The sequence below is a fragment of the Homo sapiens genome, chromosome 6 (genome assembly GCF_000001405.40).
Source record: "Homo sapiens chromosome 6, GRCh38.p14 Primary Assembly".
In the NCBI taxonomy this organism is placed as follows: domain Eukaryota; kingdom Metazoa; phylum Chordata; class Mammalia; order Primates; family Hominidae; genus Homo; species Homo sapiens.
Window position 1 is genome coordinate 63,550,277 of NC_000006.12, and position 13,967 is coordinate 63,564,243.

At 40.3% G+C, this 13,967-nt stretch overlaps 2 protein-coding genes across 7 annotated transcripts in view; one reads left to right on the plus strand and one right to left on the minus strand.

Annotated features, from left to right (window-relative positions):
• LGSN (lengsin, lens protein with glutamine synthetase domain) overlaps nucleotides 1-13,967 on the minus strand; it is a 297,657-nt gene that overhangs the window by 274,326 nt on the left and 9,364 nt on the right. The gene's annotated exons all lie outside the window — the stretch shown is intronic.
• PTP4A1 (protein tyrosine phosphatase 4A1) overlaps nucleotides 1-13,967 on the plus strand; it is a 67,149-nt gene that overhangs the window by 33,837 nt on the left and 19,345 nt on the right. For 3 of the 6 annotated variants that reach the window (NM_001385255.1, NM_001385258.1, NM_001385257.1), the window contains exon 4: nucleotides 24-217. The exons of 2 other annotated variants lie outside the window; for them this stretch is intronic. The gene's annotated coding sequence lies outside the window, so the exon portion shown is untranslated. Of the gene's footprint in view, nucleotides 1-23; nucleotides 218-13,182; nucleotides 13,237-13,967 lie in introns of those variants that run through there. One more of the 6 variants, NM_001385259.1, reaches the window with a different exon arrangement.

The window sequence follows — 13,967 nt, forward strand, 5'->3', positions numbered from 1 at the left end:
TCAGAGATAATGTAATCAACCAGGGCAGTGTGCCCGCCCTCTCTTTCTGGAGTATAAAAGGAGTTGTGAGAGGCTTGGGTCACCATTTGGTGAGCTGAGGGTGAAGCTACAAAGGTTGAAGCGTTCTTCAGACGACTCTACCTGAGGGTGAAGCTACAAAAATTGAAGCGTTCTTCAGACGACTCTACCTGAAGAAAGAACCCTGCTACAGAGAGGGGTGAGTAGGCCACACCAACTTTCATGATAAAGGGCCTGTAAGAGCTCCTCGAGCCTTGGTTCGGGTGCATATGTGATTAGGAGGTTTGTTTTTTAACATTTCTATAGTGATATTTGTTTTTGGTTGGTTGGTTGGTTGGTTTTTGAATTGAGACAGGGTCTCCCTCTGTTGCCCAGGCTGGAGTGCAGTGGCATGATCTCAGCTCACTGCAGGCTTCACCTCCTGGGTTCAAGCAATTCTCCCAGACCCAGCCTCTGAGTAGCTGGGATTATAGGCACCCACCACCATGCCCGTCTAATTTTTGTGTTTTTAGTAAAGACAGGGATTTCACCATGTTGGCCAGGCCAGTCTCAAACTACTGACCTCAGGTGATCCGCCTGCCTCGGCCTCCCAAAGTGTTTGGATTACATGGATGAGCCACCGTGCCCAGCCCCATAATTTTTTTCAAATAACCTTTATTTTTGCTTTGAGAATCTAATTGTATATACATGACCATAATTACCTGGACCTCTTAGAAAATGTTGATAGGTTTTTTTTATTTATGAAAGTATTACAAGCCACTGTGGGTAATTTGTTGTTGCTGTTGTTTTGAGATGGAGTCTCCCTCTGTTGCCCAGGCTGGAGCACAGTTGCTCAATCTCTGCTCACTGCAACCTCTGCTTTCCAGGTTCAAGTGATTCTCCTGCCTCAGCCTCCCAAATAGCTGGGACTACAGGGGCGCGCCACCACACCTGGCTAGTTTTTGTATTTTTAGTAGAGACGGAGTTTCACCATGTAGGCCAGGCTGGTCTCGAATTCCTGACCTCAGGTGATCTGCCTGTCTTGGCCTCCTAAAGTGCTGGGATTACAGGCATGAGCCACTGCACCCAGCCGCTGTGGGTAATTTGGGCAACAACAACAAAAAATAGAAAATAGAAAATAAAATGTCCACAATTCATACTGATTCACAAATAGTCACTATATGCATTTTCACCTATTTCTTTCCAGGCTTTTTTCCTATGTACAAATATTTTGTCTCAAAACTAGGATTCTGTCATATTAAGTTCATTTTTTTTAATTATACTTTAAGTTCTAGGGTACATGTGCACAATGTGCAGGTTTGTTACATATGTATACATGTGCCATGTTGGTGTGCTGCACCCATTAACTTGTCGTTTACATTAGTTATATCTCCTAATGCTATCCCTCCCCCCTCCCCCTACCCCACAACAGGCCCCGGTGTGTGATGTTCCCCTTCCTGTGTCCATGTGTTCTCATTGTTCAATTCCCAATTCCCACCTATGAATGAGAACATGTGGTGTTTGGTTTTTGTCCCTGTGATAGTTTGCTGAGAATGATGGTTTCCAGCTTCATCCACGTCCCTACAAAGGACATGAACTCATCATTTTTTATGGCTGCATAGTATTCCATGGTGTATATGTGCCACATTTTCTTAATCCAGTCTATCACTGATGGACATTTGGGTTGGTTCCAAGTCTTTGCTATTGTGAGTAGTGCCACAATAAACATACGTGTGCATGTGTCTTTATAGCAGCATGATTTATAATCCTTTGGGTGTATACCCAGTAATGGGATGGCTGGGTCAAATGGTATTTCTAGTTCTAGATCCCTGAGGAATCGCCACACTGACTTCCACAATGGTTGAACTAGTTTACAGTCCCACCAACAGTGTAAAAGTGTTCCTATTTCTCCACATCCTCTCCAGCACCTGTTATTTCAATGATTGGCATTCTAACTGGTGTGAGATGGTATCTCATTGTGGTTTTTATTTGCATTTCTCTGATGGCCAGTGATGGTGAGCATTTTTTCATGTGTTTTTTTGGCTGCATAAATGTCTTCTTTTGAGAAGTGTCTGTTCATGTCCTTTACCCACTTTTTGATGGGGTTGTTTGTTTTTTTCTTGTAAATTTGTTTGAGTTCTTTGTAGATTCTAGATATTAGCCCTTTGTCAGATGAGTAGGTTGCAAAAATTTTCTCCCATTCTGTAGGTTGCCTGTTCACTCTGATGGTAGTTTCTTTTACTGTGCAGAAGCTCTTTAGTTTAATTAGATCCCATTTGTTAATTTTGGCTTTTGTTGCCATTGCTTTTGGTGTTTTAGACATGAAGTCCTTGCCCATGCCTATGTCCTGAATGGTATTGCCTAGGTTTTCTTCTAGGATTTTTATGGTTTTAGTTCTAACATTTAAGTCTTTAATCCATCTTGAATTAATTTTTGTATAAGGTGTAAGGAAGGGATCCAGTTTCAGCTTTCTACATATGGCTAGCCAGTTTTCCCAACACCATTTATTAAATAGGGAAACCTTTCCCCATTTCTTGTTTTTGTCAGGTTTGTCAAAGATCAGATGATTGTAGATGTGTGGTATTATTTCTGAGGGCTCTGTTCTGTATCTCTGTTTTGGTACCAGTACCGTGCTGTTTTGGTACTGTAGCCTTGTAGTATAGTTTGAAGTCCGTTCATTATTTTTAACATTGTTTTATGATCATAACCTTTTTTAATGAATATTCTTGGGAACTATGATGTAGGTAGTTGCACGAGAGTCTTCATACAGATGTACCAGCACTGTATTTAACTTGTCACCAGTTGCAAAGTAGTAGAGAGAATGTATATCTGTGTATATTGATTATATTCAAACCAGTTTTTCCTCCAAAGTATACAATTCAAATTTGAACTACAAATTTTGCCTCATCAAATAAGTCCTCAGTAATTGTGTGATACAGCTTAGTTTAACGTAATCTGTTGATGATGTCAAAGCTCTGCTTTTAACACAAGGCTGAAATTTTGTACCCAAAACCATGCTTCAGGACCATAAAGTAACAGGATGCTGTTAGCGACTCGGGTTCAGATAGAATCTCCTGTGGTCACTGAATGATTTTCACACACAATTTTGGTCTCCATGACTGTGTGTTCAGTAGTGAAAGCCAAAGGTCAATGTGCTTCCTCCTTATAAATAACCAGTTACATGGGTGGCCTAAAAATAAGTTCTTCTTGGCCAAGACAGGTTAATGAAAGCCAGTTTGGTATCCTGTCATGCAGTATAGCTATTTTAGTGTCTCAGTGTAGCTAATTTGTCAGCCTTGCCTGGACATTAGCACATATTTAGATCTTGATGTTCTAACTAATGAATGACAGCTAAGGAATGTGTAGCTTCCTGGTAAAGAATTGATTGCATTATCACTGATTAGGTTGGGGGAATTGGAATTTAGTATCTTTGTGTATAGGAGCAGGAAAGGTAAATTATGATTTAAAATTCACTGAAGGATTGTAGGAGAAGAGAAAGGAAGAGGAAATTGTGGCAGGAACATAACCAAACTAAACAAAACCATTGCCCAGCCTGGGATTATAATTGTAATGGAGTACAATTAACGTATTTGAGTCAGGTTATTCAAAAGGTTATGGCTACAGTAGTTTAAAACAGAAAATACGAAAGAAAAATAGCAGGGCATCAAAGTTAGTGATATCAGTTGGCCTTATTTTAAGAGGCTTATAACCACACCTGAAAATTTCCAATTACCAGTCTAGAAATTTCCATAGACATTGACTATATCTGAGGAGGGGAGGAGTAATTCAGTGCTGTAATTTAAATTTAAAAACATTCAGAAGACTGAAAGCACAAATATTCAAAGTAACAGATGGTAGCCTCCTCTCAGAGGCAATAAAAAGACTTTACAATCCTCACCAGAAGTGTATTTAGTTATAATTTAGTTTTGCAGTTTCTTTTTAAGTATATTCCATTACAGTAGGAATTTTCTCTATTCTTGTCAAGCTTCTTGTCTCTCTTAAACCTCAAAGTATATGAAAAGCATTCTATTCATGTTCTTTTATCATAATACTGGGAGTATCTTGTCCAGAACTTGACCAGAAATTCTTATACACTTTCTTCTAGACTGTAGTCCCAAATCCTTAGAAGACTGTTTCAAGGGCTTTACCTCCACTCCCACATTACAACCTTCCAGCCTGAATTAGGTATCTCTTCTCAGCCTTCCCATAGCACACAATAAGGAACACCTATTACATAATTTAGGCCGGGCACGGTGGCTCACACCTGTAATCCCAGCACTTTGGGAGGCCAAGGTGGGTAGATCACTTGAGGTCAGGAGTTCAAGACCAGCCTGGCCAACATGGTGAAACCCATCTCTACTAAAAATACAAAAATTAGACATGGTGGCATGTAGTCCCAGCTACTGGAGAGGCTGAGGCACAAGAGTCCCTTGAACCAGGGAGGCAGAGGTTGCAGTGAGCTGAAATCGCACCACTACACTCTAGCCTGGGTGACAGAGTGAAAGTCTGTCTCAAAAAAATGGAACAATTTATCAAGCTGTATTGTCACTGTTTACATATGGGTCACTTTTGGGGACAATCTTACTCTTATTTATGTTTGTATATCCACCTCTTAGGCAATGCTGGTGTATAGTAGATTTTCACAGAAATTATGTTAGAATCATACAAAGAGACAATTGTGTTTTTAGCAGCAATGTCGGAAGTTCTGAAGCACATGGTGTGGTTTCTGATAACATGTGGCTGATATCAGAACACAGCCAAGCAAAGCAGCAATTATTCCATGTATTCCTGGAAGACTCATACCTCCATTTCTTTTCATCTTTCCACTCCCAAAACAATTGTTGTTCATTTCTGGTAATATAAGAATAGTGCTAACTGACCCTTTCTTCTTCAAAGAAGATCTAGTTGGCTCAGCAAAGAAAATGGGTTCTGTAGATCTTTAGAGGCTGCCCCGAGTAGAGGTACATGACTCTCCAGGGCAAACATTTCCAACATTAGAGGATTGAGTCAGATTTTTAGAATGAAACAAGGAACTTCGGAGAGTTCCCTGGAAATTAGAATATTTAATAATTCAATATTGTTGTCACAGTCATTAGATTAGATCTAGACTAATAGGAAGGAAAATCCTTGAAATTGCTGATGGCCAAAAAGTATCTCCCTTTCTCCAGTGTCTTCAGTTATCCATTTGTATAAATGGCAGGAGGCCTGGGTTACCAGAAGTATTACTACTGCCAGTGTAGCTGCTGCTGCAATCATAGTTCTTGGCACCACAAAAAATCTCTGTGCCTATTGTAGTAGTTATGGAGGATTTTGTCTCACTGCATGACATATCAGCTTTGTATTACCAAAGGCATACATCCACTCTGTCTAGCAATGGTGAGTCAACAGAAAGTATGCAATTCACTTCTCAATTACACTCTTTTTTTTTTTTTTTTTTTGAGACGGAGTCTCGCTCTGTCACCCAGCCTGGAGTGCAATGGCGTGATCCCGGCTCACTGCAACTTCTGCCTCCCTAGTTCAAGCGATTCTCCTGCCTCAGTCTCCCAAGTAGCTGGAATTACAGGTGTGTACCAGAATACCCAGCTAATTTTTGCATTTTTAGTAGAGACAGGGTTTCGCTATGTTGGCCAGGCTGGCGAACTCCTGGCCTCAAGTGATCTGCCTGCCTCAGCCTCCCAAAGTCCTGGGATTATAGGAGTGAGCCACCGTACCTGGCCTCAATTAAACTTTAATATTATTCAGCCTTTCTTTGGTATAACACAATAAAGACAATAGAAATATTTTCCCTAAATTTCCAAAAAAATTACTCCAGTTTTCAAGTTCACATTTTGCAAATCTAAGAATCTAATCACCCTAATACAAGAAAACAGTTTATTTTCTTAATTTTAAAAAATTTTTTACTGTGATTTATTTATTTTGAGACAGGCTCTTGCTTTGTTGCAGTGCCACAATCACAGCTCACTGCAGCTCTTCCTCCGAGGCTCCAGGGTGCCTCCTGCCTCAGCCTCCAGAGTAGCTAGGAATACAGGTGTATAACATCAAACTTGGTTTTTTTTTTTCTTGCCTTTTTCTTTTTTTTTCTTTTTTTGTAGAGACGAGGTCTCACTATGTTGCCCAGGCTGGTCTCAAGCTCCTGGGCTCAAGTGATCCTTCCATCTTGGCCTGCCAAAGTGCTGGGATTACAGGCATGAGCCACTATGCTCTGCCTAATAAAACAACTTAACGATATTATGGCAAAATTGCCCTAGGTGTGCCTTGTTAGGTATTTTTCTCAGGGCGTGGTTTCTGTATGCCTCATAATGCATAATGGGAGGATGATACCACAGGGGAAGTTAAGTCTAAAATTCTCTGAGCAAAGGCTTTGCCAAAAAGATCAGCATGTCACTATCGCTTTGGGTGAATCTGTACTACATCAATAATTTATTCCTGAGTCACTGATACTGCTTGTCAGTTCTTGTTATTCATTTCAAAGAATAAAAAGTATGATTATTCTAAACAGTAACGTAAAAGTGAGTTGTTAATCGACTTTTACAAGAAATGCCCAAATATAACAAGCAGAAATTAGTAAACAATCTGTAGCACTTAGGTGATACTATCCAAGATAAACCCATCTATTATCATCATCACTTCTTGATTTCATCCTCTAATCTCATTGTCTGCTGCCAGATCCTATTCCTCAGGGTTTCTGTTGTCTACCAAACACTAGCGCAGTCATCCAAACATCCTGAAATCAAGCATGAAACAATTATAGCATGAAATATGCTAGTTTCTTATTAAATACTTATTATGTGCCAAGTACTGTGTTAAGCACAGGGAAATTAATAGAACACAGCCTTTGTCTTGGAATTCTTCAAAGGGTGTGAGAGAGATAGATGACATTTAAAAAATGATTATCATCATGGGATGAATGCTGCAATAGAGGTATTTGCAAGGTACAATGGAAGTACAGGGAATGGAATACCTGTGTTGATGAGGAAGTCAGGAAAATTTAATTTAAAAATTAATATTAGGTGTGGGCATGGTGGCTCATGCCTGTAATCCCAGAACTTTGGGAGGCCAATGCAGGTGGATCACCTGAGGTCAGGAGTTTGAGACCAGCCTGGCCAACATGGTGAAACCCTGTCTCTACTAAAAATACAAAAATTATCTGGTGTAGTGTGCGTGCCTGTAATCCCAGCTACTCAGGAGGCTGAGGCATGAGAACTGCTCCATATATATATATATGGAGGTTGCAGTGAGTCGAGATCGCACCACTACACTCCAGCCTGGGCTACAGAGTGAAACTCCATTTCATAAAAATAAAAATATAAATTAATACTAGGTTTTAGGGGAAGTAGCAAGAGAAAATTCCAGGTAAAAGGAATTGCAGATACAAAGCCATGGAGGTCTGAGAAAATGTGGCATCTATGTTAGAAATCACAGTTGGTTTCAAACATCTAGAAAGCATAATGGAGTGGAGCACGAGGTAGGGCTATAAGGCAGTCATGATCTTGAAGGGTCTTAAATATCTTGCGAAAGAGTTTGGACTTTATCTAAAAGTCAGTGTAGGATCATTGGAGGATTTTGAGAAAGAGGATAGCAAGATCAGATATGCATTTTTTAAAATGATACTGAACATATGCTTTTTTTTTTTTGAGACGGAGTCTTGCTCTGTCACCCAGGCTGGAGTGCAGGGGTGCGATCTCGGCTCACTGCAACCTCCGCCTCCTGGGTTCAAGCAATTCTCCTGCTGTGACTACAGGCACCCACCACCATGCCTGGGTAATTTTTGTATTTTTAGTAGAGACGGGGTTTCACCATATTGGCCAGGCTGGTCTCGAACTCCTGACCTTGTGATCCACCCACCTCGGCCTCCCAAAGTGCTGGGATTACAGGTGTGAGCCACCGTGCCCGGCCACATATGCATTTTTAAAATGCAGGGTGGATTAAATGGGACAAGACAAGTCATTGAATTAAGTTATTGCAATACAACTCAGAAAATATTGTGGAAGGAAGTAAAAGGGGGAAGGAGGGAGGGATGGAGGAGAGAAAGAAGCAGGGAAGGAAAGAAGGAACAAATGAACAAATAAGGCTTTTGACAGTAAAAAATTAGAAGGAGGGGGACAATCTCTGAGCCACTGCTCTCCAGACTCAATAGAATGTGGTAGCCAGTCAGACAGAAAAGAAGAAAAGGGAGGAGTCTAGTAAGATTGCCATGTCTGTGGCTTGAGCACCTGAAGGACAAAGGTTTCAGTCATTGTCTCATGATAACAGTAAAATGAACAGGTCTCATGGGGGAAGAGAGATTATTGGCTCAGCCTAAACCATGTTGAATATGAGGTGCCTCAGTTCATCCCATGGAAATATAAATACATCCAGAGCTCAGAAGAGAAGACTTTACTGGAAGCACATCTTAGGGTCATCTTTGAATGTTTGGAAGTTGAGACCAAAGAAGTCCTCTAAGTAAGTCTGAAATTGTAAAGTGTATAAGAATGACAGAGAAAGAATAGGAAATATTCTTTAAAATACCAACACCTATAGGGCAGGGAGGCAGAGGAAGACAAGCCATCCCAGGGGCCCCCATAAGAGAGTTTCAAGAAAGAAATAAAGATATGGAATGAGTTGCCTCATCTGTCAAGTAGGATTGTTGTAAGAGTTAGATAATGCTCCTAAAGTGTCTATTACAATGCCTGCACATAGTAAGCACTGAATAAATGTTGAAGGGTGATTAGCTTTAAACAGGACATATCAAAGGCCATAAGGATGGCTTGACTGTATGGAGGCGAGAAGGATAGATCATTTTGCTCACTCTGCTCCCCTTATCAGTCAAAAGAACACTGGAGAGATGAATCAATGATGTTCACCATGTCCATTAGCGGGAAATCAACAAGTTTGACTTCACCAAAATCAGTTCATATTTACAAATAACATGCTAATGAGGAAAAATATCTTATAAATACTCCCTTGTAACAAAGATTATTAAAGCTGTTCTACATTAATTAAAAGGATCATAATATAATGATACTTGTAAACAGCAAGGACTTAAGTGGAGTTATTTGGGGGAAGTGATAGTGTATAAAGCTATTTGACAGTTTCATTTCCATCCTTACTTGTAAAAACAGTAAATTTACTTTTCACAGTGAACACTAAATAAAAGAAAAATGGCTTAAACGCAGCAAAAAAAATCATTTGGTTTAAAAAATGAATTTCACGGCCAGGTGCAGTGGCTCACACCTGTAATCCCAGCACTTTGGGAGGCCGAGGTGGGCGGATCATGAGGTCAGGAGATGGAGACCATCCTGGCCAACATGGTGAAACCCTGTCTCTACTAAAAATACAAAAATTAGCCAGGCATGGTGGTGTATGCCTGTAATCCCAGCTACTCAGGAGGCTGAGGCAGGAGAATCACTGGAACCCAGGAAGCAGAGGTTGCAGTGAGCCAAGATCGCGCCACTGCACTCCAGCCTGGGTGACAGAATGAGACTCTGTCTCAAAAGAGGAAAAAAAAAATGAATTTCACAGCCAGGCATGGTCGTTCATGCATATAATACTAGCACTTTGGGAGTCTGAGGCAGGTTTGCCCAGGCTGGTTTCGAACTCCTGGGCTCAAACAATCCTCCTGCCTTGGCCTCCCAAAGTGTTGGAATTACAGGGGTGATCCACCGTGCCTGGCCAGATGGTGTTTTTTCGTGACAACAGCAACCCAGGATGGACATAACAGGAATATATAATATTGTGGAAGATCACGGAATGGCCTCATTCATGAAAGACTAAGGAAGGTACCCCACGGTAATGCATTTCATAACATATCTAACCAATTTCCATAGTTTTCATCATTTACAATAGTGCCTCTCAATAAAAATGAATTACTTGAAAAGTGAAAAGTACCAGCCTGGCAAACATGGGGAAACCCCGTCTCTACTAAAAATACAAAAATTAGCGGGATGTGGTGGCAAGCGCCTGTAATCCCAGCTACTTGGGAGGCTGAGGCAGGAGAATCACTTGAACCCAGGCAGCAGAGGTTAAAGTGAGCTGAGATCACGCCATTGCACTCCAGCCTGGGTGACAAGAGTAAGACTCCGTCTCAAAAAAAAAAAAAAAAAAAGAAAGAAAGAAAAGAAGTGAAAAGTAAAAAACAAAACACAAAGCCTTTTTTTTTTTTTTCTTGAGACAGAGTCTCATTCTGTTGGGCGGGCTGGAAGGCAGTGCACATGATCTAGACTCACTGCAACCTCTGCCTCCCGAGTTCAAGTGATTCTCCTGCCTCAGCCACCCTAGCTGGCATTACAGGCGTGTACCACCATGGCCCACTAATCTGTGTATTTTTTTTAAGTAAAGATGGGTTTTCGCCATGTTGGCCAGGCTGGTCTCGAACTCCTGACCTCAGGTGATCTGCCCACCTCAGCCTCCCAAAATGCTGGGATTACAGGTGTGAGCCACCGCACCCAGCCACAAAGCCTAATTTTTGAAATTAAGTTCAATAGAAATAAAGTTACCCTGTCAAATCGCTGTAAAAGTTTTTAAATGCTTGCTCTCAGTTTCTATGCTTATCTCCTCTCAGACCAGTAACAGTTCATAGATTGGCACCAGTTCACAGACTACACTTAGAGTAGCATTAGTCTGGGGAACAACATCTCTTGAAGTAGCCATCAGAATGAAAAGGAAGGGCAGATTTTCAGTAAAGTATTGCATAATCATATTTTATGATTCACTTTTACTAAACTCATGGAAGGATGAAATATAAGCCCAAATGCCAGTGCCTTTGTAATGGAATAATTCCTTTACAGGATCAGAACACGTAGGAAGCCAAATTAATAATTGAAAGCTTGTTTGTTTAGCAAAGAACCAGAGCATAAGAAAGTAAATAACCTTAAGGGATATTTCAAGGCCATGAGTACAGCCTAACAGAGTGATGGAAGCAGGGACTCTTGCAGTTAAGCCACTGGAATTTGAATTCCAGCTGCATCACATAATACTTGTATGACCCTAAGCTTTCTGAGGCTGCATGTCCTGATTTTTATAATGGGAGTAATATCAATCTGGAGAGATTTATGAAAGGTTTAATATAGTGCTTAATACCCAACACATAGTAAGCACTCAATAAATGTCAGTCAATGTTATTAATACTATCCTATAATAAGGTATATTTCTACAACAACCAGCACATTCAGTACAGATTCAATGCCTCTTCCCTAGACAGTGCCTGATAAACACTGACAACCTTCATATCTTTAGACCTTTCTATTCTGTGTACCCAGTCATCATCTTCCTTCTGTTCTCACAATCTTCCTCTGGGCAGATAAAATAAAATTGATTTTGTTTCCGCTTACAATCACATTCCAGGGCACTTACAATCACAACCCAGGTGACTTAGGTTATACCCAAGTCACCTTGGGTTTTAGATGTTTCCAAACGTTTAGAGGTGATTTCTTGGTTTATAGCCACAAACATGATACATAAACAACTTTAATTTCCCAGGGAGCTTCTCACTGGTTGGGCATTATATTCTCACATTTGATGGCAAACAAATACACATTGAAAGTAAATTATAATCAGATCAACTATCCAAGAACATGGAATCAGAACGAAAGTGATTATAAAGTTTTTGACAGCTGCTGTCAGGTTAGGATAACCTGGTGCTTCTATCTCTGCTGCAGAGAGTACAATAAGGCTACAGACCTATCGGTGCAACCTCTTTGAGCATTTATCTGAAATGATTTTTCCCCAACTGTAAGAGTATCATTTTTGGAAAAAAAATACAAAATATAGGAAGTTATAAATAAAAAATTGTTTATCATCACATCACCCAGTGACACCCATAAAGTATTTAAATGTCAGTTATTACCTGTTAACATTTTAGTTTATTTCTTTCTATTTTTATAGCATTTCTTTTTATTTAACATTACAATTATTTATTTATCTTAAAGACATTAAGATATTTTCTTTTTCTTTTTTTTTTTTTTTGAGACAGAGTTTTGCTCTTGTTTCCCAGGCTGGAGTGCAATGGTGCGGTCTCAGCTCACCACAACCTTCGCCTCCCGGGTTCAAGTGATTCTTCTGCCTCAGCCTCCCGAGTAGCTGGGATTACAGGCATGTGCCACCACACCCAGCTAATTTTGTATTTTTAGTAGAGACAGCGTTTCTCCATGTTGGTCAGGCTGGTCTCGAACTCCCGACCTCAAGTGATCCAACTGTCTTGGCCTCCCAAAGTGCTGGGATTACAGGCGTGAGCCACCTTGACTGGCAAGATACTTTTAATATCCGAAAAGTATTTCATTATATAGATACTTCAAGTGATATCACCCACTATGAGTTGATTTTTTAACTAATTTCTATCTCAGAGTCTGAGTATTCTAATAAATTCAACAAAACAGTGCAAATATGTGTTTAGCACATGGCTTGGAAAACAACAAGAGCACAATAAGTTTTAGCTATTCTTGCTGTTATTGTAATCTATCAAGAGTTTAATTGTTCTCTTAATACCTAAATATACAACTTTTAGGAGTCCCGCTGCTATATTCTCAAAACCCTCAGAAATAGTGTCTTTCTCTAAGCATACTTTGAGTGCCTTTATTTATTTTAAGTTTCTGGTTTATTCCCTACAAACATATTGCTAATGAAAATGTGAAATTATGGAACTTTTCATCAGTGTGCCTATACATTCAGCACCATAGCATAAAACAGGCTCAAAACCATGGCCTTATATCTCTGTTTGGCCTTTGACAATTTTTAGAGGCAGTGTGGCATTTTGTGATGTAAAACTTCTCCATTTTATTTCCATATTTCTAATCTCTCCACTTTTCTCTGCCTCCACTGTCCTGATCATAGTCAACACCAACATTGTCTTCCATTTGACAAGGCAGGAAATCTCAAGTGTTTCACCCTGTTAAAATAATTCTACTCTAGGGCCTTCTCCAATCCATTCTCCACAGAACAGAAAAACAATTCTCTTAAAACAAATTTCCTGATATGTGGTGTGATTCACTGTCAGCAAAATAAATCCAAATCCTTTCCATGGCCTACAAGGTCCTACGTGATCCAGTCCCTGCTAGATGTCCAGGCTTATTTCCTTCCCTTGTATTGCTGCAGTCCCTCAGGTCTTCCAACTCCTTGAGTACCAACCAAACTCCCACCTGAAATTCTGTGTTGTCATTTCCTCCACCAAAAATATCTCTCTTCCTCCCCCTCTTTTTGTGATTCATTCTCATCATTTAGATCTGGATCTCCTGGGAGACACCACCCCTGACTTCACTGTCTAAAGTAAGTCACCCCAGCCATTCTGTTGACCTCCTTCACAGCACAGATTATAAATATATTCTATGCTTATTTACTTGTTATTTTCTCTCTTTTCTCACCTGTATATAAATTTCATTGGGGCAGAAAACATGTTTATGTTATTCATAAGATAGCAGAGTGCCTGGCATATGCTAGGCATTTAACACATATGTGTTGGGGAAGGAGGGAAGGTTGACAGCCACAGCTATGGATGTAGGTGAAAACCCCAAGGAAAGTGGAAAGTGAGTCCAGGAGGCCCTAGGACAAAACTCCAGTGAACACCATTGTTAACGGGATTGAGAGACTAAGAACCCTGCAAAGAAAACTTAGAAAAACTGGGAATAGGATGCCCTAATAGAATTTTATGTGGGAAAGTAATATGATAGTATGCAAATAAATAGTGGTTGAGTATTTACTATGTGCATTAATATGTCTGAGGATTAAAGAAATACATTATAGGACAACTATATTTAATGGTGGCTCACGCCTGTAATCCCAGCACTTTGGGAGGCCAAGGCAGGCGGATCATTTGAGGTCAGGAGTTCGAGACCAGCCTGGCCAACATGCAGAAACCCCATCTCTACTAAAAATACAAAAATTAGCCGGGTGTGGTGGCAGGTGCCTGGTAATCCTAGCTGCTTGGGAGGCTGAGGCAGGAGAATCACTTGAACCCGGGAGACGGAGGTTGCAGTTAACCAAGATTGCACCATTGCACT